We start from the raw sequence: 27,647 nt of genomic DNA on the forward strand, positions 1-27,647 counted from the left end.
GGGGAATTCCTGGGGCACACAACTAAGACTATGTTCCTTCCTGCTCTAAACTCTCCCATGGCTCCCTATTACCCCCAAGATTAGATCAAAGTCTTTATTGAGACTCCCAAGGACTTTCTCTACTTCAGCTCTGGTTGTCTTGCAGCCTGATCTCTACCTGCTCTTGCTGCTTCTCACATCATTAACCTTGGGCCCTGAAGGTGCAGCTTCCAACTTCTGGGCCTTTGCACCTGCAGTCAGCTTTGCATAATTGCCTGACTGCCCCTGGCACATTCTTGTTCTTTGAGATTCAGCTTGAATGCCTCTGCTCTGGGAAGCATCCCTCTCCTTCAGACCCTCCCTCCCACCCCTACCCGGATCTAGGGGCCCAGGAGGCTTTGGGCTGGGAAGATTAAGAAGACGATGATGAATAAGTTGGTTCTAGCAGTTCCTTCCTTCCTTCCTTTTTCCTTCGTTCTTTCTTTCTTTCTTTTTCTTCTTTCTTTCTTTCATTTTTCTTTTCCATTAAGCATTTAACCCCCTTGTACACAATTCACTCTTTTTAAAGAAAAAAACTGAGGCCGGGCACAGTGGCTCATGCCTGTACTCCCAGCACTTTGGGAGGCCGAGGTGGGTGAATCACAAGGTGAGGAGTTCAAGACCAGCCTGGCCAACATAGTGAAACCCCATCTCTACTAATAATACAAAAATTAGCCGGGCGTGGTGGCTTGTGCCTGTAGTCCCAGCTACTCGTGAGCCTGAGGCAGGAGAATCGCTTGAACCTGTGAGGCGGAGGTTGCAGCAAGCTGAGATCACGCCACTGTACACTAGCCTGGGCGACAGTGTGAGACCCAGTCTCAAAAAAAAAAAAAAGAAAGAAAAGAAAAAATTGAAATGTAAGGCTGTGTAAGATTTGTTTTGAAACTACACAGTGTCTTTTTTTTTTTTTGTACAGTTAATGCACTACTGAATGTGTCTTTAGATAGCCCTGTCCTGGTGGTATTTTCAACAGCCACTAACCTTGCCTGGTATAATATGGGGGTTGTAAATTGCAATGGAAATTTAAAGCAGGTTCTTGTTGGTGCACAGCACAAATTGGTTATATATGGGGATAGTAGGTTTTTTGGGTTTTTCGTTTTTTTTTTTTTTTTTTTAAGACTGAGTCTCGCTCTGTTGCCCAGGCTGGAGTGCAGTGGCATGATCTCAGCTCACTGCAGTCTCTGCCTCCCAGGTTCAAGCGATTCTCCTGCCTCAGCATCCTGAGTAGCTGGGATTACAGGCACCCGCCACCAAGCCCAGCTAATTTTTGTATTTTTGGTAGAGATGGGGTTTTCTCATGTTGGCCAGGCTAGTCTCAAACTCCTGACCTCAGGTGATCCGCCCACCTTGGCCTCCCAAAGTGCTGGGATTACAGGCACGAGCCTCCGTGCCTGGCCTAGGTTTCTTTTCTTTCTTTTTTCTTTTTTTTTTTTTTGTAGTCAGTGCACACATATCACACATACACTGGGGTTTTACAAAATAAGAGACAAAGCTCTGAGTCAAATGCAAAAGTTTAGATGCTCACTCCATGGTCCTTTCCTCCAGGGAAGTCCCCACTCCCTGAGCCACCCCAGGGGACTCCTGGGCTGGAAAGAACTGAGAAACCCCAGGCCTCTTGCTCCTCCAGAGTTGCAGGGGGACAAGGCAGAAACCCCAAAGGTCCCGAGACCCTGAGCTTGGACACTGCCCCTCTTTTCCTGCAGCCTCTTCCTGTGTCCCCAGCCCTGCACTCCCATCCCCTCCCCCAACTCTGCTGGCCCAGCCCTGGCCTCCCTCCCGCACTCATTTCCGGAGGATGCCCCAGCCTGTTGCAGACATGGGGGAAGTCCAGCCTAGTTGGGGATGTCACAAGGGGGTGGGGTTAGGGCTATTTCTTTTATTTTTTATTTTTTTATTTTTTTATTTTTTTTGAGATGGAGTCTCGCTCTGTCACCCAGGCTGGAGTGCAGTGGCACCATCTCGGCTCACTGCAACCTCTGCTTCCCGGGTTCAAGCAATTATCCTGCCTTAACCTCCCGAGTAGCTGGGATTACAGGCACACGCCGCCACGCCCGGCTAATTTTTTGTATTTTAGTAGAGATAGGGTTTCACCGTGTTGCCCAGGCTGGTATCGAACTCCTGAACTCAGGCAATCTGCCCACCTCAGCCTCCCAAAGTGCTAAGATTACAGGCATGAGCCACCGTGCCCAGTCAGGGCTGTCTTATGTCTAGTTCATACTCTAAATGTTCAGACTTGACATGCCCCAGCCTATCTCCAGCCACCCTCCTCCACCGCCCAGCCCGGCAGCCCACATCCTCACTGACACGGATATCAGGCAGGCTTCCTTCAAGACCGCTGTTTTTGCCCGTTCTCAACTAGAGCCCATAGCCTTGCTCAGACACACAGGCTTGGAAGGCCACTAACTCACTGCCAGACCTTGGGCAAGTCGCTCCACCTCCCTGATCCTGCCCTTCTGCATCTAAAAAGTGAAGTATTAAAGGAAAATGCATCTGTCTGCACGAAAGCAGAAACACAGCTCCTAGGTTCTGGTTCCAGCGGCTCACAGGCTGTGTGACTTTGGGCCAGTGTCCTAACCTCTCTGGGCTTCGGTTTCCTCACCTGTCAAAGAGGAATTAAGAGGACCCACCTCACAAGGCTGTTGCAGGATCAGATGAGTTCATTTCAAATAGTGTCTGCAGCCTGAGCAACTTAGTGGGACCCCATCTCTAACAAAATTTAAAATGTGGCATGAACCTGTAGTCCCAGCTACTTGGGAGGCTGAAGATGGCTTGAGCCTGAGAGCTGGAGGTTGCAGTGAGCTATGATTATGCCACTGTACTCCAGCCTGGGCAACAGAGTGAGACCCTGTCTTTTTTTTTTTTTTTTTTTTTTTTGTGACAGAGTCTCACTCTATCGCCCAGGCTGGAGTACAGTGGCATGAGAGATGAAACACACCCCAACCAGGTGTCTGCCTTGCAGCTGGGACTAGCTTCTCCCCATACTTCCTCCTGTCTTTACCCAAGGGGCCTTCAACTACCGTGCACCTCCCTTCTGAGCAGACACCAAGGACATCCTGTCTCCAGCCCAGACACACACTCTGAGCTTCCTCTATGTGCACCTCCCACAGCCCCCTGGAGATCTGCACCTTCTAACATCCAATGCCACATCTTCCCTCCAGATCTGCTTTCACCCTGTGCTCCCTGCCCAGAGATGGGCACCGAGCCAGGCCCGCCTGCCCAGCATAGTCCAGGCCTGGGGGGTAGACCTTCCCATCCTCTGCCTCCCCCTCCTCCCTTCCCTGGGTCCCCCAGACTCCAGACACCCTCATCTCGGAACCGGACTCTGTTTTGCTCCGTTCTCTCCACTCACCTCCCACCCTGCAGCCCTGGTCACTCTATTTTTTTTTTTTTTGAGACGGATTCTCGCTCTGTCACCCAGGCTGGAGTGCAGTGGCGCGATCTTGGCTCACTGCAAGCTCCGCCTCCCGGGTTCACACCATTCTCCTGCCTTAGCCTCCGGAGTAGCTGGGACTACAGGTGCCCACCACCACGCCTGGCTAATTTTTTGTATTTTTCCTAGAGACGGGGTGTCACCGTGTTAGCTAGGATGGTCTCGATCTCCTGACCTCGTGATCCACCCGCCTCAGCCTCCCAAAGTGCTGGGATTATAGGCATGAGCCACCACGCCTGGCTTAATTTTTATTTTTATTTTTTTGAGATGGAGTTTTGCTCTTGTTGCCCAGGCTGGACTGCAGTGGTGCGATCTCGGCTCACTGCAGTCTCCACCTCCCAGGTTCAACCAATTCTCTTGCCTCAGCCTCCCGAGTAGCTGGGATTACAGGAACCCTCCACCATGCCTGGCTAATTTTTGTATTTTTAGTAGAGAGGAGGTTTCACCATGTTGGCCAGGCTAGTCTCGAACTCCTGACCTCAAGTGATCTGCCTGCCTCGGCCTCCCAAAGTGTTGGGATTACAGGCATGAGCCACTGCACCTGGCCTTGTTGTTTTTTTGAGACAGGGTCACCCATGCTGGAATGCAGTGGTACCATCATAGCCCACTGCATCCTAGAACTGTGCTCAATCGATCCTCCCACTTCAGCCTCCCAAGTAGCTGGGGCCGAAAGCACGTGCCGCCAGGTCTGGTTTTGTTTGTTTGTTTTTGTAGAGATGGGGTCTCTATGTTGCCCAGGCTGGTCTCAAACTCCTGCCCTTAAGCAATCCTCCCACATTGGCTTCCCAAAGCATGGGAATTACAGGCATGAGCCACACTACACCGGCCCAACTTTTGTTTCAGTGGAGCCCCTTCTCTCCTCCACAGCTCCTCTTCACACTCACCCACCCCCTCAGCTGAGGGACACTTCCTCTTTGGGATCCTACTCATGCCTCGAACATCCTGTTCTCACCCACACCTCCCCATCAAACGCCCCCAGTACTGACCTGGATTGACCAAGGAGCCTGTTCATTAGCTTTGGCTCACTGATCCCAGAAAAGAAGCCCCCTCTAATTAAACACGCACGAAAACCCCAGAACAGAGGCAAAAAGCATTGATGGGAAAGAACTGTATCTTCTGGAAAGTACCAATATGACAATGAATCCATTCCATGCTGTAGTTAACAAGATGCGGGCTATAATGGAGATTACAAGCTAACTCTCAAAACCAAAAAAAGAAATAATTCATTGAAAGGTTTTTTTTTTGAAGGGAAGGCATTTTTTTCCTCTGCAAATTTGTATGCAATAGTTTACATTTAACTTTCCAGCATGATTCTAGAGAGTCAATTTTTGGAAAAATGAACACATTTAAAAAAAAATGCAGCCAGGCGCAGTGGCTCATGCCTGTAATCCCAGCACTTTGGGAGGCCGAGACGGGTGAATCACGAGGTCAGGAGATCGAGACCATCCTGGCTAACATGGTGAAAACCCGTCTCTAGTAAAAATACAAAAAATTAGCCAGGCGTGGTGGCGGGCGCCTGCAGTCCCAGCTACTCGGGAGACTGAGGCAGGAGAATGGCGTGAATCCGGGAGGCGGAGCTTGCAGTGAGCCGAGATCAAACCACTGCACTCCAGTCTGGGCGACAGAGCGAGACTCTGTCTCAAAAAAAAAAAAAAAAATGCTTGTAGGTAGTGTGGTTTGAATTGTGTCCTCCAAGGAGATTTGTTAAAGCTGGGCACGTGTGAATTTAACCTTATTTAGAAACAGAGTCTTTGCAGTTGTAACCAAGTTAAGATGAGGTTATCCTGGATTAAAGTGTGATATGATCCAATGATTGCTGGCCTTCTAAGAAGGTCATGCATGGCCTGACGTGGTGGCTTATGCCTGTGTCCCATCTACTCAGGAGGCTGAGGCGGGAGGATTATTTGAACCCAGGAGGTCCTGGCTGCAGTAAGCTATGATCTCACCATTGCACTCCAGCCTGGGCCACAGAGCAAGACACTATCTCTGAAAAACAAAACAACAGAAAGAAAAGAAACAAAAAGCCGGCCAGGTGCAGTGGCTCATGCCTGTAATCCCAGCACTTTGGGAGGTGAAGGTGGGCGGATCACAAGATCAGGAGTTCGAGACCAGCCTGGCCAACATGGCGAAACCTGTCTCTACTAAAAATACAAAAAAAAATGAGCCGGGCATGGTGGCTCGTGCCTGTAATCGTAGCTACTCAGGAGGCTGAGCCAGGAGAATCCCTTGAACCCAGGAGGTGGAGCTTGCAGTGAGCCGAGATCGCGCCACTGCACTCCAGCCTGGATGACAGAGCAAGACTCTGTCTCAAAAAAAAAAAAAAAAAAAAAAAGCCCTTCCCCACACTGAAATACACTCAAATTATTATTATTATTATTATTATTATTATTATTATTATTATTTTGAGACAGAGTCTCGCTCTGTCGCCCAGGCTGGAGTCCAGTGGCGCGATCTTGGCTCACTGTAAGCTCCACCTCCTGGGTTCACGCCATTCTCCTGCCTCAGCCTCCCAAGTAGCTGGGACTACAGGCGCGCCTGCCACCACACCTGGCTAATTTTTTTGTATTTTTAGTAGAAATGGGGTTTCAACATGTTAGCAAGGATGGTCTCGATCTCCTGAACTCGTGATCCACCCGCCTCAGCTTCCCAAAGTGCTGGGATTACAGGCATGAGCCACCGCACCCGGCCTCAAATTATTTTTAATTTTTATTTTTCTTCAGACAAGAGTCTCACTCTGTCACCCAGGCTGGAGTGCAGTGGTACAATCACAGCTCACAGCTCACTCCAGCATTGAACTCCTGGTCTCAAGCAATGCTCCCACAGCCTCCCAGAGTGCTGGGATTACAGGTATGAGCCATGGGGCTTAGCCGCAAAGGCTTTTTTTGGGGTAGGTCGGGGGCTGATGTACAACTGAATGCACAGGAAAGGCCTTTCTAAGAATAAAATAAACATAAAAGTCACCAAAGGGCTGGGCATGGTGGCCCAAGCCTGTAATCCCAGCACTTTGGGAGGCTGAGGCAGGTGGATCACCTGAGGTCAGGAGTTCGAAACCACCCTGACCAAAATGGTGAACTCTGTCTCTACTAAAAATGCAAAAATTAGCTGGGCATGGTGGTGCACGCCTATAATCTCAGCTACTCGGGAGGCTGAAGCAGGAGAATCTCTTGAATCCAGGAGGCAGAGGCTGCAATGAGCCAAGATCACACCACTGCACTCCAGCCTGGGTGACAGAGCAAGACTCCATCTCAAAAAACAACAACAACAAAAAAAAAAAATGGAGGAAGAAGATTGAAGCTCACAGAATAAGAAGTAATTTCTTTAATACTAAAAAGAGCTTCTATATATATTTTACCACAGTAAAAGTAAAGAGGCTCTATAAATCAATAACAAAAAGGCTGTCGCCTGCAGAAAAACAAACAAACAAACAAAAAAAAAACGTTTCCAGGGAAAGACTAGAGGTCCACGTTTAAAAATGTTTTATTTTAAAGGCCAGACATGGTGGCTCATGGGAGGCTGAGGCGGGTGAATCACCCGAGGTCAGGAGTTCGAGACTAGCCTGGCCAACATGGTAAATCCCTGTCTCTACTAAAAATAGAAAAAATTAGCTAAGCATGGTGGCGGGCACCCGTAATCCCAGCTACTTGGGAGGCTGAGGCAGGAGAATCTCTTGAACCCGGCAGGTGGAGGTTGCAGTAAACTGAGATCACACCATTGCACTCCAGCCTGGGTGACAGAGCAAGACTCCATCTCAAAAAAAAAAAAAAGTTTTACTTTAGAGACAGTGTCTTGCTCTGTTGCCCAGTCTAGAGGGCACTGGTGCAATCATAGCTCACTGCAGCTGCAAACTCCTGACTCAAGTGATCGTCCTCCCTGAGCCTCCTGAGTAGCTGAGACTACAGGCATGAGCCACCACGTCTGGACAAGATCCACTTACAAATGTGTATATAGAAAGACAGAACCAGGCTGGGCACAGTGGCTCACACCTGTAATCCCAGCGCTTTGGGAGGCTGAGGCAGGTGGATCACAAGGTCAGGAGATCGAGACCATCTTGGCTAACACGGTGAAACCCCGTCTCTACTAAAAAAAAAAAATACAAAAAAGTAGCTGGGTGTGGTGGCAGGCGCCTGTAGTCCCAGCTACTCGGGACGCTGAGGCAGGAGAATGGCGTGAACCTGGGAGGCGGAGCTTGCAGTGAGCTGAGATCGCGCCACTGCTCTCCAGCAGCCTGGACGAGAGTGCGAGACTCCGTCTCCAAAAAAAAGAAAGACAGAACCTAACTATTTCCCAGGCTCATCTCAAACTCCTGACCTTAAGCCATCCTCTGGCCTTGACCTCCCAAAGTGCTGGAATTACAGGCATGAGCCACCGTGCCTGGCTCTGAGATCCAGTTTTTAAACACAGAGATGTTCAACCTCACTCGAAATAATAAAAATGCAGGCCAGGCGCGGTGGCTCATGCCTGTAATCCCAGCAGTTTGGAAGACCGAGGTGGGCAGATCACCTGAGGTCAGGAGTTCAAGACCATCCTGGCCAACATGGTGAAACCCCGTCTCTACTAAAAATATAAAAATTATCCGGGCATGGTGGCAGGCGCCTGTGGTGCCAGCTACTTGGGAGGCTGAGGCAGGAGAATCGCTTGAACCAGGCAGGTGGAGGTTGCAGCGAGCCGAGATCACGCCATTGCACCCCAGCCTGGGGGACAAGAGAGAGACTTCGTCTCAAAAAAATAAATAAATAAATAAAATAAAAAATAAAAATGCAAATGAGAACTACATACTTTTAAACCTCTCAGTTAGCAAAGATTAGAATGTTTGATAACATGTGGAGGATGAGTCCTTTGTGGAGAAACCTTTGGCAATAGTTATCCACGATACACCTGCTCACACCCTTTGACAAGTAATTCCACTTCTAGGAATTTACTGATGAGATCTCTTCATGCTGGGTTGACATATGACCTCTACGGCAGGTTATTCAATTCATCGTTGCTTGGATCAAAAACAACCGCCTAGACCAGGCGTGGTGGCTCAGGTCTGTAATCCCAGCATTTTGGGAGGCTGAGGCGGACAGACCATCTGAGGTCAGGAGTTCGAGACCAGCCTGACCAACATGGCAAAACCCCGTCTCTACTAAAACCACAATAATTAGCCGGGCTTGGTGGCAGGCACCTATGATCCCACCTACTGGGGAGGCTGAGTCGGGAGAATTACTTGAACTGGGGAGGCAGAGGTTGCAGTGAGCCGAGATCGTGCCACTGCACTCCAGCCTGGGTGACAAGAGCAAGACTCTGTCTCCAAAAATGCAACCAAACAACAACAACAAACAACGAAAATCGCCTAGTCCATCAATAGGAAACTGATAAGCAAAGTCTGGCTCAACCGTGGCATCCTATGTAGCCGCTAAAAAGAACAATATGGGGACAGGTGCACTGCCTCCCACCTGTAATCACAGCACTTTGGGAGGCCAAAGTGGGAGGCTCACTTGAGGCCACAGGTTTGAGACCAGCCTGGGCAACACAGTGAGACCCCATCTCTACAAAACTTTAAAAAATTAGCTGGCCATGATAGTGCACACTGTAGTCCCAGCTACCCAGGAGGCTGAGGTGGGAGGATCACTTGAGCCCAGGAGGTCGAGGCTGCAGTGAGCTATGATCACACCACTGCACTCCAGCCTGGGCGAAAGAATGAGACCCTATCTCTGAAAGAAAAGAAAAAGAAAAACAAAACGAAACAGAAAAAGAGCAAAGTGGTTCCCAAAGTATGCATATATCAAAAGATCACACTGTACCTGGTAAGTATATACAATTAATATTTGTCAAATAAAAGAAGAACAAGATGGTGAGAACTGCTGAACTCTGTGAATGGATCAAAAACCTTCGACTTGAAAACTTGAAATAGGCAAACTGGATGGTATGAAAATTATATCTCTAAAGCTGTTACCAAGCAACACAAAGTAAAACACTCAGTTTCCCAAGAAAGAAAAAGGCAGGAAGGAGACCCCCATCTCTACAGAAAATAAATAAATACATAAATGAGCTAGGTGTAGTGGTGCATGCCTGTAGTCCCAGCTATTCTAGAGGCTGAGGCAGGAGGATCACTTGAGCCCAGGAGTTGTGGAGGCTTCTGTGAGCTATGATTGTGCCACTGCCCTCCAGCCTGGGTGACAGAGGGAGATCCTGTCTCAAAAAAAGAGGCCGGGCGCGGCGGCTCACACCAGTAATCCCAGCACTTTGGGAGGCGGAGGTGGGTGGATCACAAGGTCAGGAGATCGAGACCATCCTGGCTAACACAGTGAAACTCCGTCTCTACTAAAAATACAAACAATTAGCTGGGCGTGGTGGTGGACGCCTGTAGTCCCAGCTACTCGGGAGGCTGAGGCAGGAGAATGGCGTGAACCTGGGAGGCAGAGCTTGCAGTGAGCCGAGATCACGCCACTGCACTCCAGCCTGGCGACAGAGTGAGACTCCGTCTCAAAAAAAAAAAAAAAGCAAGCAAGAAAGAGGGAGATAGAGAGGGAAGGAAGGCAGGAAGGAAGGACAAAAAGAAGGAAAGAAAGAAAACAGGAATTCAGAGGGAAAGGGTGGGGAGGGAGGTGAGGGATAAAAGACCATATATCGGCCAGGCGCGGTTGCTCCTGCCTGTAATCCCAACACTTTGGGAGGCCGAGGCGGGTGGATCACCTGAGGTTGGGAGTTCAACACCAGCCTGACCAACATGGAGAAACCCCGTCTCTACTAAAAATACAAAAAAAATTAGCCAGGTGTGGTGGCGCTTGCCTGTAATCCCAGCTACTCAGGAGGCTGAGGTAGGAGAATCACTTGAGCCCCGGAGGCGGAGGTTGCAGTGAGCAGAGATGGCGCCACTGTACTCCAGCCTGGGCAACAAGAGTGAAACCCCATCTCAAAACACACACACACACATATCGGGTACAGTGTATACTGCTCAGGTGACGGGTGCACCAAAGTCTCAGAAATCACCACTAATCAATTCTTTAGTGGTTATTTGGCCATGTAGCCAAAAACCACCTGTACCCCAAAAACTATTGAAATGTTTTTTAGAAAGGATATTTTGACACAAAGAGAAAAAAACCCAACTGCTTCCAGGGTTACCCTAAAGTCCTCCCCATCGAGTCTAGGAGAGGGGATGGTGTCTTAAATAGGCGAGTGCTGGCACAGGGGCGCTTGTGGTAGCTGTGTGACCTTGGGCAAGTCATCTCACCTCTTGGTGTTGTACTTGAGCGAGTTAGAGAAAACGCCACACTTTGAGACGAATTAAGAGTCCGTTTATTTAGCTGGCGGCCAAGAGACGGCTAACGTTTAAAGTTTTCTTGGCCTTGAAGAAGGGACTAGATTTTCTTTTATACTTTGGTTTAGAAAGGGGAGGGGGGGTCTAGTTAAAACAATTTTACAGAAGTAAAGTAGGCAAAAAAGCTAAAAGGATAAATGGTTATAGGAAAGTAAACAGTTCTAGGTGCAGGGGCTTTAAGACTATTGCAAGGTGATAGACGCGGGGCTTTGGGCGTTATCAATCAGACGAATTCCTGGGAACTGCAGATATTGCTCGCCCCAGTATCTTATCGATTAATTGCATTCTTGGATGTGCTGGGAGTCAGCTTGCACAAGTTAAGTCTTTGAGGAAGAGGCTGCTAGTGAAAGAGCCAAGATGGAGTCTGTCTGGCTCTCTTAGCTAAGGGAGAGTCAATTCAGGTGGAAACAAGGCTAGGTGATTAAAGGAAAGGGAGAGTCTAAAAACAGGGTTAGTAAAAACAAGGTTGGGCATTACATTGGTAGGGTGACCAAGCGTCATGGTTTGCTTGGGACTGTCCTGACATTAGCCCTAAAAATTCCATGTCATGCGCATCCATGTGAAGAGACCGCCAAACAGGCTTTGTGTGAGCAGTAAAGCTTTTCAATCACCTGGGTGCAGGCGGGCTGAGTCCAAAAAAGGAGTCAGCGAAGGAAGATGGGGTGAGGCTGTTTTATAGGATTTGGGTAGGTAGTGGAAAACTACAGTCAAAGGGGTTTGTTCTCTGGTAGGCAGGGGCGGAGGTCACAAGGTGCTCAGTGGGGGAGCTTCTGAGCCAGGAGAAGGAATTTCACAAGGTAATGTCATCAGTTAAGGCAGGAACCAGGCATTTTCACTTCTTTTGTGATTCTTCAGTTGCTTCAGGCCATCTAGAAATACACGTGCAGGCTTGGACTCGGAGGCTTGACATTCTGTGTTGCAGGAAATTCCTCAGTCCCCAGAACGTGGGATAGCTGGTGACAATGCAGCTGGCTCCAGGTTTTGTTTTTGTGGTTTTGTCCTTTTTTTTTTTTTTTTTTTTGAGATGGAGTCTCACTTTGTCACCCAGGCTGGAGGGCAGTGGTGCGATCTCACTGCAACCTCCGCCTCCTGGGTTCAAGCGATTCTCCTGCCTCAGCCTCCTGGGTAGCTGGGATTACAGGCATGAGTCACCGTGCCCGGCCAAGGTTTTTCTTCTTTGCTGAATGGAGATAATGGCAGGCAGAGCTAGGTTAAAAGCACCTCCTCCCAGTTCATCCACCTTGTGGCTGTGTGGCTTTGTGTAGCTTCCTGCACCACTCTGGGCTCATCTCTAAAATGGGATTTTTCTTTTTTTTTTTTTCTTTGAGACAGGGTCTCGCTCTATTACCCGGGCTGGAGTGCAGTGGCGCAATCATGGCTCACTGCAGCCTCGACCTCCTGGACTCAAGTAATCCTCCTGACTCAGCCTTCCAAGTAGCTAGGACTACAGGTACATGCCAGCTAATTCTTAAAATTCTTTAGGCTGGGCGTGGTGGCTCATGCCTGTAATCCCAGAACTTTGGGAGGCGGGCGGACTACCTGAGGTCAGGAGTTTGAGACCAGCCTGGCCAACATGGTGAAACCCCATCTCTACTAAAAATACAAAAATTAGCCAGGCATGGTGGTGCACCCCTGTGATCCCAGCTGCTCCTGAGGCAGTAGAATCGCTTGAACCCAGGAGGCAGAGGTTGCACTCCAGCCTGGGTAACCAAGTGAGACTCCGTTTCAAAAAAGAAAAAAATGAAAAACCTCTTGGGCTCAAGCGATCTTCCCACCTTGGCCTCCCAAAGTGCTGGGACTACAAGGCTTGAGCCATCACAGCTGGCCTAAAATGGGAAGTTTAAGTGCACCTGCTTCACAGAGAGGGCCGGTCATATCCATCTTTTTACATCACTTTGCACAGGCCCTGGCACTGACCAGGTTGTCACTGCTCCAGGACAAGGTTTGCCACTGCCCTCTCCTCACCCAGGGTTCTAGGGCTGTGATTCCACTCAACCACTAGGAACCTCAGGTGGGTGCAGGGCCTGGCTTGGCAGGAGACATCATCAATGAGAACCGGTTAGCCTGCTTGCTGGACTCATGCTGGGTTGCCAAGTGCCCTGGGAAGCTGGGCAGGGGACAGGTGGCAGGTGGGAGAGATCAGGTGCCAAGTACCTATTCGGGTAGATGAGGATATTTAGGCATGGAGCAGGGGGGACCCTTGGAGAAAGGCGAGCAGAGGAGGTGGCCCTCACTGCCACCACTAGCCTCCCCTCATCGCCTGAGTTCTGGTAATTTTACCTCTAAAGCCCCCTGGAATCCCTCCCTCTTCTCCTATTCATCACCCCCGAACCAGGCCCCAGGTCCTCCCATCCAGCTGCCCACGGTAGAGTGACACCTTCCCAGCCTCCCACTCTGTTCTTTCCTAATTTTAAGTCCAATTGTTGGCCAGGTGCATTGACTCATGCCCATAATCCCTTGAGGGATCACTCGAGGTCAGGAGTTCAAGACCAGCCTCTCCAACATGGTGAAACCCCGTCTCTACAAAAAATACAAAAATTAGCCGGGCGTGGTGGTGTGCGCCTGTAATCCCAGCTACTCGGGAGGCCAAGGCAGGAGAATCACTTGAACCTAGGAGGCAGAGGTTGCAGTGAGCTGAGATCGTGCCACTGCACTCCAGCCTGGATGACAGAGTGAGACTCCATCTCAAAATAAATCAGTAAGTCCATTGGTGCCTCTCCCTGGAGAGAACCCAGGAGGGCTTATTGTGGCTGGGCCAGCCCTGCTGTCCTCCCAGGAAACTTCCTCTCAGTATAGTTCCCCCACCCGCTCATTTCTCAGGGCTCAGATGTCACCTCTTCCAGGAAGCCTGCCTTGAACACCCACTCACTCTCAAGCTTGGGGTCCGGCCTGAGCTCCATGGTCAGGGATCGGGGTGGAAGGTGAGGACAGGCGAGAAGCTGCCCAACTGCAGAAGGTGCAGCCTGGGTCCCTTCCTGCCTGGCTGACCCCAGGTGTCTTCCTCCAGCTTCCCAACCTTTGCCCCATGTGGTACCTTCCACCTGAAATCTCTCTCCAGCCCTGGCCTGCCCAGGTCCTCTTTTGAGCTCCCCTACTCCACTTCTCCGGAGTCCTGGGGCTTCTCCACTGGGGCGTGGACTCCACCATTCCACCATGTATCCTGTATTATATTATCGTTATTGTTTGTAGATACCGGGGTCTCACTATGTTGCCCAGGCTGGTGTCTCTTTTTTTTTTTTTTAATTGAGACAGGATCTCACTCTGTTGCCCAGGCTGGAGTTCAGTGGCATGATCATAGTTCACCTCAGCCTTGACTTCTGGGCTCAAGTGATCCTCCCACTTCAGCCTTCTGAGTAGCTGGGACTATAGGAGCACACCACCACGCTTGGCTAATTTTTGTATTTTTGGTAGAGATGGGGCTCTTGCCATGTTACCGAGGCTTGTCTCAAACTCCTGAGCTCCAGCAATCCACTCACCTCAGCCTTCCAAAGTGCTAGGATTACAGGTGTGAGCGACCAAGCCCGGTCATATATTATTATTAATACAAACAAATGCCATGCTCTGAGCACCCTGGAGTATGCGACATGTGATATTCAATAACTCCCTAGTCACAACAACTGAGAAGAGTTGCTTTATTATCTTTCTTTTCCAGGTGTGCAAACAAGCTCTTGGAGGGAAGGAGAGGAGAAAATAAACAGGTGAATATGGTGGGGGTGGGGTAAAGCAGGCAATGGAGGAAGGAGGAGGGGACTGAGGCTCAGGGAGAAGTATGTATGCATTTGAAAAGGGAAAGAGGCTGGGGCACAGTGGCTCTTGCCTGTAATCCCAGCACCTTGGAAAGCGGAGGCGGAAGGATCACTTGAGCCTAAGCGTTCCAGACCAGCCTGGGCAACATAGCAAGACCCCACCTCTACCAAAGTTTTTTTTTTTGTTTTTTTTAATTGAGACAGAGTCTTGCTCTGTCACCCAGGCTGGAGTGCAGCGGCACGATTTTGACTCACTGCAACCTCCGCCTCCTGGGTTCAAGTGATTCTCCTGCCTCAGACTCTCGAGTAGCTGGGATTACAGGTGCGCAACACCATGCCCAGCTAACTTTGGTATTTTTAGTAGAGAAGGGGTTTCGCCATATTGGCCAGGCTGGTCTCGAACTCCTGACCTCACGTGATCCACCTGCCTCGGCCTCCCAAAGTGCTGGGATTACAGGCATGAGCCACCACACCCTGCCTACCAAAGTTTTTTTATTTAAAACAAAAAAAAATTAGCCGGGCATGGTGGCAGGCATCTATAGTCCTAGCTCCTCTGGAGGCTGAGGTGAGAGGACTGCTTGAGCCCTGGAGTCCCAGGCTGCAATGAGCTGGGATCATGACATTCCATTCTAGCCTGGGCAACAGAGTGAGACTCCCATCTTTAACGAAATTTTTTTTGATAGAGTCTCACTCTGTTGTCCAGGCTGGAGTGCAGTGGCACGATCTCCACGCACTGCAACCTCTGCCTCCTGGGTTCACGTAATTCTACTCCAGGCTAATTTTTGTGTTTTTAGTAGAGATGGGATTTTGCCACGTTGGCCAGGCTGGTCTCAAACTCCTGACCTCAGGTGATCCACCCGCCTCAGCCTCCCAAAGTGCTGGGATTACAGGTGTGAGCCACCGCACCCAGCCTCTAACAGATTTTTTTAAAAAAAGAAAAGAGAAGGTCGGGCATGCTGGCTCACGCCTGTAATCCCAGCACTTTGGGAAGCCAAGGCTGGTGGATCACGAGGTCAGGAGTTTGAGATCAGTCTGGCCAACATTGTGAAACCCCCGTCTCTCCAAAAAAAAAAATATATATATATATAAATTAGCCGGGTGTTGTGGGCGCCTGTAATCCTAGCTACTCGGGAGGCTGAGGCAGGAGAATCGAATGAAACCAGGATGCAGAAGTTGCAGTGAGCCGAGATCATGCCATTGCAGTCCAGCCCGGGCCACAATGCAAGACTCCGTCTCAAAAAAAAAAAAAGAAAAAGAAAAAAGAAAAGAGAAACAGTGTAGCAGAGGGAAGGCCAAGTGCAAACGCCAGGAGTCTGAACTTGGAGGGACAGGTTCTTCCACACTTGCAACAGAGGTCTCCTGCCTCCCTGACCGCCCCGCCCCCCGCGCCCCTGTCTGTGTGAGGAAATCAAATCTCAGCTTGCCTAGGGCCCTGTGGCAGGGAGGCCCCAACTTCACCCCATGGGTCTTGGGTCTGCTGAGCTGAGTCAGAGAAAGGTTTATTATCCCCATTTTACAGAGGCTTATTGTCCAAAGGCGAAGCCACTTGCCCAGAGTACATGCGGTGGGCCAGCGACTATGAAAACCCCTGGGGCTGTCCTCTGTTCAGGGATCGCCCAGGCTCCCTGCCCCTGCGCGCTGCTGAGACTGGGTCATTTTCGGTTCTACCAGGCAAGCGGGGGACCCAGCCCCCACTGCTGCTGCCCTCAGCCAAAACCAGGGCTGCGCCACCACCCACCCGGCCTATCTCCCATCTTATCTCCCCAGCTCTGTCGCCTGACCCCTGCACCCCACCAAATCGCAGCCTTTGCCCGGTGCCCTCACCGCCTCGGTTGGCCCCCGCGCGCGCCTCGGGCGAACCCCTGGACTGGCCCTCCAACAGGGCCCCAGACTCGGGGTACCCAGGGTGGCCGCTGAGGCCTGGAGAAATCTGGGCCTCCCCTGTGCACCATCCAACTGCGCGCCCCAGAGGCTCAGGGCGCCCCGGGAGTGTGGGGGTGTGGACAGATGAGCAGAGCCAGAGCATCTCGGGCAGAAGAGGGGACCTGGGAGGGGGCCGGGGAGACAGACAGCGAACAGGGGTGAAGCCGGGGCCGGACGGAGCGCGCAGCGGACAATACTGGGTTCAAAGGGGAGAGATAAGGCGCAGACTAGAAACGCTAGGCTGGACCCGGGCCAGGCGCGCCGCGGGGCAGAGATGGGCGGAGCGGGAACGGGGGCGGGGGCGAGAATGGGGGGGCGGGGACGGGGGCGGGGATGGGGTGCGGGTGCGGGGTCGGGGGCCAGGGAGAGGCCTAGTTGCGTCGAGGGGGGCAAGCGCCTGGAGGACCCGGCGCCCGCTCCAGGCCCTGCCCCTCCAAGTCCCCCGCCCCGCGCCAGGCCCCGCCTCTCCAGGGCCCCAGCCCCGCGCCAGGCCCCACCGTTCCGGGGCGCGTGCCCCGCCCAGGCCCCGCCCCCACGGCCCCGCCCCGGGCTCCCCCCACTCAAGCCTTTTTTCCCCTGCTGGGGGCCGAGGCCCGGCCAGGAGCAGAGTCCGGCTGCCTGGGGCGGGCGGCGCGTGTCTGCAGCTGCTCCGGGTAGCCCGCTAGGCGCGCCGTCCCCAGCCCCGCCGCCGGCCCTCGGTGCGCCCGGCCGCCTGCACCCCCAGGTAAGCGAGCACCCCGCGCCGCGAACACCGCCCCGAACGCCACCCTCACGGCGGTCCCCGGCCCCGCCTCCGCGGCCATGGCGGCCCCAGCCCGGCCCCCACTCGCAGCTGGGCTCCAGCCCCCATCACCCCGCCGGGGACTGTCCCCCTCGGGGCTTCCCATCATGGCCGTCTCCCCGAGCTATCCGCGCTCCCCCACGAGGGCCGGGGCGCAACGGGTGCCCGAGGACGCGGCTGTGAAACGGGCTGGAGCGAGTAGGGGCGATCCTGGCCTCGTGACGCGGGGGAATCCGGATGTGTGAGCCGGGGGAGCGCCCCGTTTCCCCGACGTGCCAGGGCTGGGGACGCAGCTGGGGCCCTGGCCTCGGAGTCCGCAGCCCGGCCGCGTAGACGGCTTCTGAGAACCGCTTAAACACGTCATTCCAAGCCCGAGCTAACCCATCAGGCGGCCGGGGTGAGGTGGAGGTGCCCAGGCGGGGATAATGTCATTTGGCCTGGTTGGACCAGCCAGCGAGGGCTTTTTAGGCCCAGGGCCTAGCCGGGAGTGTGTGCGGAGCAGAAAAGAGGCCAGCCTGGCTGAAACGCGGAGAGGGAGGGTCTGAGGTGGAGAGAGGTTGGCCGGGGCCTGGGAAGCGGCGAGGAGAGTGTGGAACCCGTTCTCGGGGCGGTGGGGACCAGGGAGGCTTGGAACAGCAGGTGCATGGCGTGATCGGATTGTGTCTTAAGAACATCCCGTAGCCGCTGTGGGTAGGAGAGATGGGGATACTTGGAAGGGGGCTTCTGGCTTGACCTGGCTGGAAGGTGTGATAGGAAGTGGGTGAACTGAAAATTCGCTTTGGCAGAGTAACATCGTCTAATTCTGTCTGTTTGCAAGTGGAGCGTGGGGGACCGATGTTTCTCCTGGGTAGTTAGGAGTATATAGAAGAGGCTTTCATTGCTGGGTTGGGAGACTTGAGGAGAAGCTGCTCTGGGGGACACAGGAAGGTGGGCAGGGGGAGAGGCTGTTGTGGTTTGCAAAACCTACCAGATGGGGGAATGCTCCCATCGACTCCAGTCTGAGCTCAGGCAAGGTCTCAGGCATCTGAGCGCAGAGGCCAGGGTGACCCCACTGGGGCGACCTGGGTCTGTTATATGGGGATAGGGTTCCTGGACTGTGGAATTGTCTTTGAAGCCCTCGGCCTCCCCCAGCCTCAAATGGGTCTGCCTTCCAGGAGCAGCTGCTGTGAATAAACACAGAAGTGGAGCTGGGGGACTGATTAGAAGCCTCATTCAGTGCACCTGGGCCCCAGCAGGCCCAGCCAGGCGTGGAGGAAGAGGCATTGAGGACTTTCCTTACCTGTTTTTCCAGCTCACCCACTGCCAGCAGAGGTACTTTGAGCCTGGGGTGTGGGGGGTGGGGGGCGGCCTTGGTCGTTGAACTGGCTGTAGGGCCCCCAGGGAAAGGTTTCTGAGCTTCAGTTTACCCATCTGTAAAATGGGTCAGTAGTATCTGAGCCTGGGAGTGTTCATGGATCGATGAAAGCCGAGGCTAGGCAGATCTCGGTGGCAGCCACACCCCTAAGGAACCGGAGAGGGTTCTAACGCCCGGTGGGAGTTCAGGGGGATGTATGGGCTTCCATTTCTCCTCTGAGAAATTCACAACAGTGTCCACCTCCTGACCCAGGGCTGTCTGCAGGTTGAATAAAGCGGTTGACCCAGTGCGTGGCACAGAATGTCTTGGCTCAGGAGCCACTGGGATGCCTGTAGTTGGCAGCAGAAGTGGGCCCAGGTTCCCTCCTCCCACCCGTGGGATGGCACAGAAAGGCAGGTGCCTTGGGAGCTCGCTGCCCTGTCCCCTTCTCTGAGCACCACAAGCTTCTCCCTTTCCGACTGGCTGGGCTTGAGCCTGACCACCCCCCAGCCCTGTCCTGCCACTTTGAGTTGAGGGCCTCCGGGCTACTGACTTCACCACTTCCTGCTTCAGTTTCTCCACCTGTAAAATGGGATAATAGCAGTCATGACCTATAGGTAAAGAGCTGAACACAGTGCCTGGCTGGTTGTGAATACGTGCTAAACAGGCTATTAAAATATCACGAGAATATCACAGAGCTGGAGGCTATTAAAATATCACGGAGGGGCTGGGCGTGGTGGCTCACGCCTGTAATCCCAGCACTTTGGGAAGCTGAGGCAGGCAGATCACCTAAGGTCAGGAGTTCGAGAGCAGCCTGGCCAACATGGTGAAACCCCATCTCTACTAGAAATACAAAAATTAGCCGGGCGTGGTGGCATGTACCTGTAATCTCAGCTGCATGGGAGACTGAGGCAGGAGAATCTCTTGAACCTGGGAGGCAGAATTTGCAGTGAGCCGAGATCGCGCCACTGCACTCCAGCCTGGGCAACAAAGTGAGACTATCTCCAAAAAAAAAAAAAAAAAAAAAAATTCAGAGTCATGCCTGGGGTCAGGGGGAGTCCAGAGGAGTCACCTGACTCAGCCTAAGGAGGAGTCAGGGAAGGCCTCCTGGAGGAGGTGACAGTTGGCTGGGTCGCTAAGGGTAAGGAGGAGTTAACCAGGCCAAGAGACCAGTGGGCAAATTGCAGAGGAGAGAAACTGCCAGGGTGCTTGGATGAAACAACCACAAAGCCAGGGTTGTAAGATCCAGAAGAGGGGAGAGGAAGAAGGGCAGAGCCAGCCTGCCAGCCTTGAACAAGCATTTGGCATTATTTAGAGCTCAGGGAACAGACTGCAGGGGTCGAAGGCAGGAGCCTGGAGACCAGGATGGAAGGGACTGCACCAGGCCAGGGGAGTAATGGTGGGGCTGGACCAGGTGAAGGCGTGGACGGGTGAGACTTGGGTGGATCTTGGAGAGATATGGAGAGGCCGGGGGAGGGAGCAGCTGCTCATGGGGGAGAAGCTTTAGGTGTAAGTCAGCAATCTGTTCTCAGCATCTGGAAATTGCCATGCTGCTAGACACCCAGGTGGTACGGCGTAGGATGGGCTTTAAAGCAAGCTGGGAGCTTGGGAGACAGCAGAAAGAGGGCAGAAGGAAAACCAGGAGTGGGTGGCAAGCTGGGAGCCAAGGGAGCTGGGGCTGTCATAGGAGGAAAGGGTCTTGAAACCCCTGTTTGATAATTCAGTAGCAGGCATCTTACTGTTTTTTTAATTATTATTTTTTTTATTTTTTGGAATGGAGTTTCGTTCTTGTCGCCCAGGCTGGAGTGCAATGGTGCGATCTCGGCCCACTGCAACCTCCACCTCCCGGGTTCAAGCAATTCTCCTGCCTCAGCCTCCTGAGTAGCTGGGATTACAGGTGCGAACCACCACACCTGGCTAATTTTTATATTATTAGTAGAGATGAAGGGGGGTGGGTTTCACCATGTTGGCCAGGCTGGTCTCGAACTCCTGACCTCAGGTGATGCACCTGCCTCGGCCTCCCAAAGTGCTGGGATTACAGGTGTGAGCCACTGCGCCCAGCCCGTCTCACTTTCTTTTGTGGCTGCTCTTTACCAACCCTGTTCTGTTCCCCATGCCTTTCAGTACAAGCTCTTTTCTTTGCTTTTCTTTCTTGTTTTTGTTTTGTTTTTTCAAGACAAGTTCTGGCTCTGTTGCCCAGGCTGGGGTGCAGTGGTGCGATCTTCGCCCACTGCAACCTCCACCTCCCAAGTTTAAGCAATCAGCCTGGGACTACAGGCATAAGCCACCACACCTGGCTAATTTTTGCATTTTTTTGTAGTGATTTTGTAGAGTTTTGCCAGTTGCCCAGGCTGGTCTGAAACTATTGAGCTCAAACGCCTCAGCCTCCTAAAGTACTGGGATTACAGGCATGAGCCACTGCACTCGGCCTCTTTCTTTCTTTCAAAGGCAGAATCTTGCTCTGTCGCTCAGGTTGGAGTGCAGTGGCATGATCATAACTCACTGCAGCCTCGACCTCCTGAGCTCAACCTCAGCCTCCTGAGAGCTGGGACCACAGGCATGCACCACCAGGCCTAGCTAATCCTTAAAAAAAAATTTTATACACATGGACAGGGGTCTTACTATGTTGCCCGGGCTGGTCTTGAACTCCTGGCCTCAAGCGAGCCTCCAGCCTCAACCTCCCAAAGCACTAGGATTATAGGCATGAGCCACTGTGCCTGGCCAAGCGCAGGCTTTTCTTTGCCATCCTTGAATAGGCCCCTCAGACCCATCATGGCTCTGACCAGAGTAGCATAGAGAGGCCCGGCGCGGTGGCTCACGCCTGTAATCCCAGCACTTTGAGAGGCCGAGGCGGGCAGATCACCTGAGGTCAGGAGTTCGAGACCAGCCTGGCCAATATAGTGAAACCCCGTCTCTACTAAAAATATAAAAATTAACCCTGTGTGGTGGCATGCTCCTGTAATCCCAGCTACTTGGGAGGTTGAGACAGGAGAATTGCTTGAACCCAGGAGGCAGAGGTTGCAGTGAGCCAAGATCGCACTACTGCACTACTGCACTCCAGCCTGGGTGACAGAGCAAGACACTGTCTCAAAAACAAACAAACAAAAAACAGAGTAGCATAGAAGAGACCTTCCCCTCCCTGAGTCTGGACTTTATACCTTTGTTAATAGGATGCTGTCACACACACACACACTGAACCGCCTGGAGCTCAGCTCAGCTTTCCCTCCCTACCCCCTCCTGGACTCCCAGAGACAGATTTTAATCCAGGGTCCCATGACACTGTGTCTGAAGAGTGATCATTTCCTATCAGCTATGCCCTGGGGACCCCTTCTGCCCTGTGCCTGGCCCCACTTTCCTCCCACCCCTGTCTGTCTGTCTGTCTGTCATTTGTTCATTCAGCACAGACTTAGGAAGTGTCTGCAGTGGGAGGCACTGGGGACAGACAGCCACAGGAAGCCTTACGGAGCTGATGTCCCCGCAGGGAGAAGGTGATGGGGACAAGGATGAGGCTTGAAGGAGCAGCTAGACATCTGGAGGAAGAGTGCTCCGGGCAGAAGGCCCAGCAGGTGCAAAGGCCCTGAGGCTGGAACAGGCATGGTGTGTTGGAGGAATGCAATGAGGCTGGGGTGGCTGGAGCAAACTAAGCAAGGAGTCATAGAGTAGAGAGAGGAGTAGATGAAGAGACTGAAGGTCCTTGGGAACCCCCAGTCCAACCACAGCATACCCTGGAGAGTCCTTGCTCAAGGGGACTTGAGGAGTGAAAGGTTATGGGACCCTACTGCTTTTGCACGGTTACTTTGTCGTCCTGTATGTGCAGTGGTCACCTGTGCTGGGGTGCTCGAACCTTGAAGGCTGAGGAAGCTGGCAGGAGGAAGGAGAGGAGGACTACGCAGTGGCCAAGACTTCTCCTCCTCCCCTCCACACAATGGGGCTCAGCTGAACTGGGAGAGGGAAGTAGCCAGGGAAGGGTACTGATGAGCGTATGGAAGCAGAGGAGATGAAGGGCAGTGGGGAGGAGGTGGGAGGGGAGGAGGAAGAGGAAAGGGAGGAAGACGAGGGGGAGGAGAGGGAGGAGGGGGAGGAGGAGAAAAAGGAAGAGGAGGGGGAGGAGAGGGAGGAGGAGGAGGAGAAAAAGGAAGAGGAGGGGGAGGACGAGGAGGAAGAAGCAACGGCAGCAGCCAGTGGGCAAGCAGCCAGAGCTGGATGGAGGAGCCAGGACGTTCTCAGATAGGTGATGGGGGAGCCCTAGGGATGCAGGGATGGTAGCCTCGATCAGGGGCCTAGAGGACAAACAGCAAAAGCCAAGCAGCAGGGCCAGGCGCGGTGGCTCACACCTGTGATCCCAGCACTTTGGGAGGCCGATGTGGGTGGATCGCCTGAGGTCAAGAGTTCGAGACCAGCGTGGCCAACATGGCGAAACCCTGTCTCTACTAAAAATACAAAAATTAGCCAGGTGCAGCGGTGTGTGCCTGTAGTCCCAGCTACTCAGGAGGCTGAGGCAGGAGAATTGCTTGAACCAGGGGGGCGGAGGTTGCAGTGAGCAGAGATCACACCACTGCACTCCAGCCTGTGCAACAGAGCAAGACTCTGTCTCAAAAAAAAAAAAACAAAAAACAAGCAGCGGGTGTGTCTGGGGGATGGGCCAGCCTCTAGCCTGCAGTCGCTCCCTTCCCAGGCAAAAGAGAGAGAACTCGGTCCCCTCTCCCTGTACCCCACAAGAGCCTGGGCACCCTCCCCACTCCCACCACGAACCTGGGCTTCACTGGGAGGGAATTTAGACACTTGGATGCTGGAGCCTAGATCTGAGGTTCTGTTGAGCCACGGCACTGTGACCCGGACTGTCCCCTCCATCCCCGTCCAAACTGGGAGGGGGCATCCCTTGTCCCTGGCACTCCTCTGTGATCTGGCAGGTGTGATGAGCCACAGCAGGGACAGGGGAATAGGGGCTGGGCTTTTTAGGGTGATGGCACCCAGACGGTAACAGGACGGGAGGGAGGTGGTCCTCTGGGTTTTGTTTCTCCATCTGGGATGTTGGTGAGGGCAGGCATAAGCCACCTCTCTGTGCCTCGAGTCCAGGATGCCTGGCCCTGCCTCAGGGCCTTTGCACTGGCTCTTCCCCCTTTCTAGAATGTTCTATCATCAGGGTTTCCTCCCTCACCTCCCTACCTTCTCAGGGAGGGCTTCCTGACCTCCCTCTTTAAAATTGTAGCCCTGCCAGGCACCGTGGCTCACACCTGTAATCCCAGCACTTTGGGAGCCTGAGGTGGGCAGATCACCTGAGGCCAGGAGTTCAAGACCAGCCTGGCCAACAAGGTGAAACCCCGTCTCTACTAAAAATGCAAAGATTAGCCAGGCGTGGTGGTGGGCGCCTGTAATCCCAGCTGCTTGGGAGGCTGAGGCAGGAGAATCACTTGAACCTGGGAGATGGAGGTTGCAGTGAGCTGAGATGGTGGCACTGCATTCCAGCCTGGGCGACAGAGAGAGATTTTGTCTTGGAAAAAAAAAAAAAAAGAAAATTACAGCCCCCACTGCCTGACTCCTCATTCCTTTTCCTGCCTTATTTTTCTCTCCACCTGACAATAACAAAACAAACAAATTATCAAAATGCAGGGCCAGATCAGGTGGCTCATGCCTGTAATCCCAGCACTTTGAGAGGCAAGTTGGGCAGATCACTTGAGCCCAGGAGTTCAAGACCAGCCTGGGCAACATAGCAAGACCCCATTTCTGAAAAAAAATTAAGATATAGAGTCTTTGCCACTCCCTCATCTCCACCATGTCCAGAATATTGGCTCCATGGAGTGAAATTTCTTGTCTACTCTGTTCTCTGCTGGGATCCCAGTGTGTAGTTGGTATGCAGTGGGCACCCGATAAATGTGAAGTGATGTCAGCCATCCTGGGTCCTTATGGCTGCAGCCTGAGAGGTTGGACTTGGGGGGCGGATGGCGTTGGGGGTAGCGTACCTCGGGTGGCAGGTAACAGGCAGGTTCTGGAGACAGGCAGGCTTGGGTCCAAGTCCCAGACTCTACTCCCTACTTTATGACTTTGGATGACTCCATGCCTCACTTTCCCCAGTTGCAAAGTACAGATGACAGAGGGACCTGGCACTTAACACATGTCAGCTTCCCGGGGACCTTGCTGGAGTCTGGAAGGAGCTGGGGGCCAATCTGAGGCCTCCAGAGGGTCAGACTCTGAGACAGGACATTTATGACTTTCCCACCCACTCCTAGAATTTTCCAGAAATGTGATGAAGAGCAAGGAGACGTTACTTTATTTTGGGCAGTCAGGACCCCTCTGAAAAGGCGACATTAGGGCTGGGGCCTGAGTGGGAGTGAGTGATGGGCTGAGACAGGAATTGGACTTGTTTACTGCCCTCCCAGAGACCCCTCATTCAGTGGGGAGACAGACGTGTCTTTGGGCAGTTACAAGGCAGATTAACCAGGGTACAAGGAAAACAATCAGAGACACTGAAGGCAAGGAGAGGCTCGTTTTTTAATTTTTTTTTGAGACAGAGTCTCGCTCTGTCGCTCAGGCTGGAGTGCAGTGGCGCAATCTCGGTTCACTGCAATCTCCGCCTCCCGAGTTCAAGCGATCCTCCTGCATCAGCTTCCTGAGTAGCTGGGATTACAGGTGTCCACTACCACACCTGGCTAATGTTTTTTTTTTTTTTTTTGAGATGGAGTCTCGCTCTTTCACCCAGGCTGGAGTGCAGTGACTCCATCTCGGCTCACTGCAAGCTCCGCCTCCCGGGTTCATGTCATTCTCCTGCCTCAGCCTCCCCAGTAGCTGGGACTACAGGTGCCCACCACCACGCCTGGCTATTTTTTTTGTATTTTTAGTAGAGACGGGGTTTCACCCTGTTAGCCAGGATGGTCTCGATCTCCTGACCTCGTGATCCGCCCGCCTCGGCCTCCCAAAGTGTTGGGATTACAGGCGTGAGCCACCGCACCTGGCTAATTTTTGTATTCTTTTGTAGAGACGGGGTTTTGCCATGCTGGCCAGACTGGTCTCGAACTCCTGATCTCAAGTGATCTGCCCGCCTCATCCTCCCAAAGTGCTGGGATCTACATTTGGCCTTCTTTTTGTTTTTGCTTTTATTTTGAGACAGAGTCTCACTCTGTCGCCCAGGTTGGAGTGCAGTGGTGCAATCTTGGCTCACTGCAACCTTTGCCTCCCGGGTTCAAGCGATTCTACTGCCTCAGCCTCCCAAGTAACTGGGATTACAGGCACGTGCCACCATACCCAGCTAATTTTTGTATTTTTAGTAGAGATGAGGTTTCACCATATTGGCCAGGCTGGTCTTGAACTCCTGACCTCAGGTGATCTGCCCACCTTGGCCTCCCAAAGCACTGGGATTACAGGTATGAGCCACTGTGCATGACCAAGGAGAGGCTCTTGACCCAGGCTGGGAGTCTTCAAGACTTCCTGGAGGCAGCCACAGGCAAGCTGCCCACTTGAAGGTTTAACCATGCCAGGCATCAGATAACGGAATGCTGAACAGTGATTTAGAGGGAGCGGCCCAGGCAAAGGCCTGGCATCCGGGAATGGCATCGGAGCAACATTCCTAAAATTGAAGCAGACTCTGGGAATCCACCCGTGGAGACCCTAGGCTGAGAACCTCGGAGTCAGGGTGGCTGCGGGAGGGCAGACAGGGAGGCCAGGACAGGGCAGTGCGTTCGGCCAGGTCACAAAGGCCTCGAATGCCAGGTCAGGAGCCATGGGGAGCCTCCGAGGAGATCTTGAGATGGGGAAGGGACAGGCTGGTACTCAGAGCCACTGCTGAGAGAGGGATGGACTCCATCTGTGTGTATCCCAGAGGAGGGGCGGTCCTGGACCGTCATCTGAGAGGAAGTGCTTTGCCTCCAGTTACACAAACACCTCCGGTCCTTAAAGGGACGATAGGTAGCCTCTGCCTCCCCACTGGGGGCCCTTCTCTGTGCCAACCCATCCAACCCAGAGGGCTGATGGAAGACGTGTGCTCTGCAGGGGCTCTCTGTGGCTTCTTGCTTCACTGGGTGGATGGGTATCAAGATGGTGACTTGAGGCCGGGAGCCGTGGCTCATGCCTGTAATCCCAGCACTTTGGGAGGCCGAGGCGGGAGGATCACTTGAGGCCAGGAGTTCGAGACCAGCCTGGCCAACGTGGTAAAACCCCATCTCTACTAAAAATACAAAAATTAGCTGGGCATGGTGGCGGGCGCCTGTATTCCCAGCGACTTGGGAGGCTGAGGCAGGAGAATCACTTGAACCCAGGAGGCGGAGGTTGCCGTGAGCCTAGATCGTGCCATTGTACTCTAGCCTGGGTGACAGAGCGAGACTTCATCTCCCGCAAAAAAAGGTGGTGACTTGATTTCACAGAGAACTCCAGCTGCCTGAGCCACCCTGCAGGATAGGAGCAGGCTCTGAGGTCCACAGTTTGCTACTGTCTCAACCCACTGCCCCCAGCTCCTCTGAGACCCAGGCAGGACTGCAGGCCCATGTAGGTTCAGATGGATGCCTGGAGGCCGGACACGGTGGCTTGCACCTGTCATCCCAACACTTTGAGAGGCTGAGGCTCAAGTATGGCTTGAGGCCAGGAGTTCGAGACAAGCCTGGGCAACATAGTAAGACCCTATCTCTATAAAAAATATATATTTTAAAATTAGCTGGGTGAGGGCTGGGCACAGTGGCTTATGCCTGTAATCCCAGCACTCTGGGAGGCCAAGGCGGATGGATCACCTGAGGTCAGGAGTTTGAGACCAGCCTGACCAACATGGTGAAATCCCGTCTCTACTAAAAATACAAAAAAATTAGCCAGGTGTGGTGGCACATACCTGTAACTCCAGCTACTCAGGAGGCTGAGGCAGAAAAATCGCTTGAACCCGGGAGGTGGAGGTTGCAATGAGCTAAGACTGTGCTTCTGCACTCCAGCCTGGGCAACAAGAGCGAAACTCTGTTTCAAAAAAAAAAAATTAGCTGGGTATAGTGGCATGGGTGCCTGTAGTCTCAGCTATTCAGGAGGCTGAGGCAGGGGGATCATTTGAACCCAAGAGTTTGAGGCTGCAGTGAGCTATGATCATGCCACTGCACTCCAGCCTGGGCAACAGAGTGGAATCCTGTTGTCTCTTAAAAAAAAAAAAT

At 52.7% G+C, this 27,647-nt stretch overlaps 1 protein-coding gene across 10 annotated transcripts in view, besides 9 other annotated features; it reads left to right on the plus strand.

Moving 5' to 3' along the window:
- Positions 1,503-1,592: an enhancer, noted in NCBI's record as "active region_13906". NCBI's record gives its function as "activates an Ori minimal core promoter by ATAC-STARR-seq in GM12878 lymphoblastoid cells {active_cell/tissue: GM12878}" and the evidence as "EXISTENCE:reporter gene assay evidence [ECO:0000049][PMID:35858748]".
- Positions 1,883-2,002: an enhancer, noted in NCBI's record as "active region_13907". NCBI's record gives its function as "activates an Ori minimal core promoter by ATAC-STARR-seq in GM12878 lymphoblastoid cells {active_cell/tissue: GM12878}" and the evidence as "EXISTENCE:reporter gene assay evidence [ECO:0000049][PMID:35858748]".
- Positions 2,443-2,492: an enhancer, noted in NCBI's record as "active region_13908". NCBI's record gives its function as "activates an Ori minimal core promoter by ATAC-STARR-seq in GM12878 lymphoblastoid cells {active_cell/tissue: GM12878}" and the evidence as "EXISTENCE:reporter gene assay evidence [ECO:0000049][PMID:35858748]".
- Positions 2,867-3,720: an enhancer, noted in NCBI's record as "H3K4me1 hESC enhancer chr19:8260104-8260957 (GRCh37/hg19 assembly coordinates)". NCBI's record gives its function as "activates a minimal SCP1, AML or CMV promoter by ChIP-STARR-seq in naive H9 embryonic stem cells {active_cell/tissue: H9 hESC(naive)}" and the evidence as "EXISTENCE:reporter gene assay evidence [ECO:0000049][PMID:30033119]".
- Positions 3,103-3,202: an enhancer, noted in NCBI's record as "active region_13909". NCBI's record gives its function as "activates an Ori minimal core promoter by ATAC-STARR-seq in GM12878 lymphoblastoid cells {active_cell/tissue: GM12878}" and the evidence as "EXISTENCE:reporter gene assay evidence [ECO:0000049][PMID:35858748]".
- Positions 3,721-4,573: an enhancer, noted in NCBI's record as "H3K4me1 hESC enhancer chr19:8260958-8261810 (GRCh37/hg19 assembly coordinates)". NCBI's record gives its function as "activates a minimal SCP1, AML or CMV promoter by ChIP-STARR-seq in naive H9 embryonic stem cells {active_cell/tissue: H9 hESC(naive)}" and the evidence as "EXISTENCE:reporter gene assay evidence [ECO:0000049][PMID:30033119]".
- Positions 11,381-12,351: an enhancer, noted in NCBI's record as "NANOG-H3K27ac-H3K4me1 hESC enhancer chr19:8268618-8269588 (GRCh37/hg19 assembly coordinates)". NCBI's record gives its function as "activates a minimal SCP1, AML or CMV promoter by ChIP-STARR-seq in primed H9 embryonic stem cells {active_cell/tissue: H9 hESC(primed)}" and the evidence as "EXISTENCE:reporter gene assay evidence [ECO:0000049][PMID:30033119]".
- Positions 16,698-17,617: a silencer, noted in NCBI's record as "silent region_10013". NCBI's record gives its function as "represses an Ori minimal core promoter by ATAC-STARR-seq in GM12878 lymphoblastoid cells {active_cell/tissue: GM12878}" and the evidence as "EXISTENCE:reporter gene assay evidence [ECO:0000049][PMID:35858748]".
- Positions 17,017-27,647, plus strand: part of CERS4 (ceramide synthase 4) — a 53,052-nt gene continuing 42,421 nt past the window's right edge. For 5 of the 10 annotated variants that reach the window (XM_017027304.2, XM_047439435.1, XM_047439433.1 and 2 more), the window contains exons 1-2: positions 17,017-17,141; positions 18,353-18,509. The gene's annotated coding sequence lies outside the window, so the exon portion shown is untranslated. Of the gene's footprint in view, positions 17,142-17,283; positions 17,596-18,352; positions 18,510-22,012; positions 22,129-27,647 lie in introns of those variants that run through there. The other 5 variants (XM_047439434.1, XM_047439436.1, XM_011528291.3 and 2 more) reach the window with 3 other exon arrangements.
- Positions 22,826-23,327: an enhancer, noted in NCBI's record as "H3K4me1 hESC enhancer chr19:8280063-8280564 (GRCh37/hg19 assembly coordinates)". NCBI's record gives its function as "activates a minimal SCP1, AML or CMV promoter by ChIP-STARR-seq in primed H9 embryonic stem cells {active_cell/tissue: H9 hESC(primed)}" and the evidence as "EXISTENCE:reporter gene assay evidence [ECO:0000049][PMID:30033119]".

This window comes from Homo sapiens, chromosome 19 (assembly GCF_000001405.40).
Source record: "Homo sapiens chromosome 19, GRCh38.p14 Primary Assembly".
NCBI classification, from domain to species: domain Eukaryota; kingdom Metazoa; phylum Chordata; class Mammalia; order Primates; family Hominidae; genus Homo; species Homo sapiens.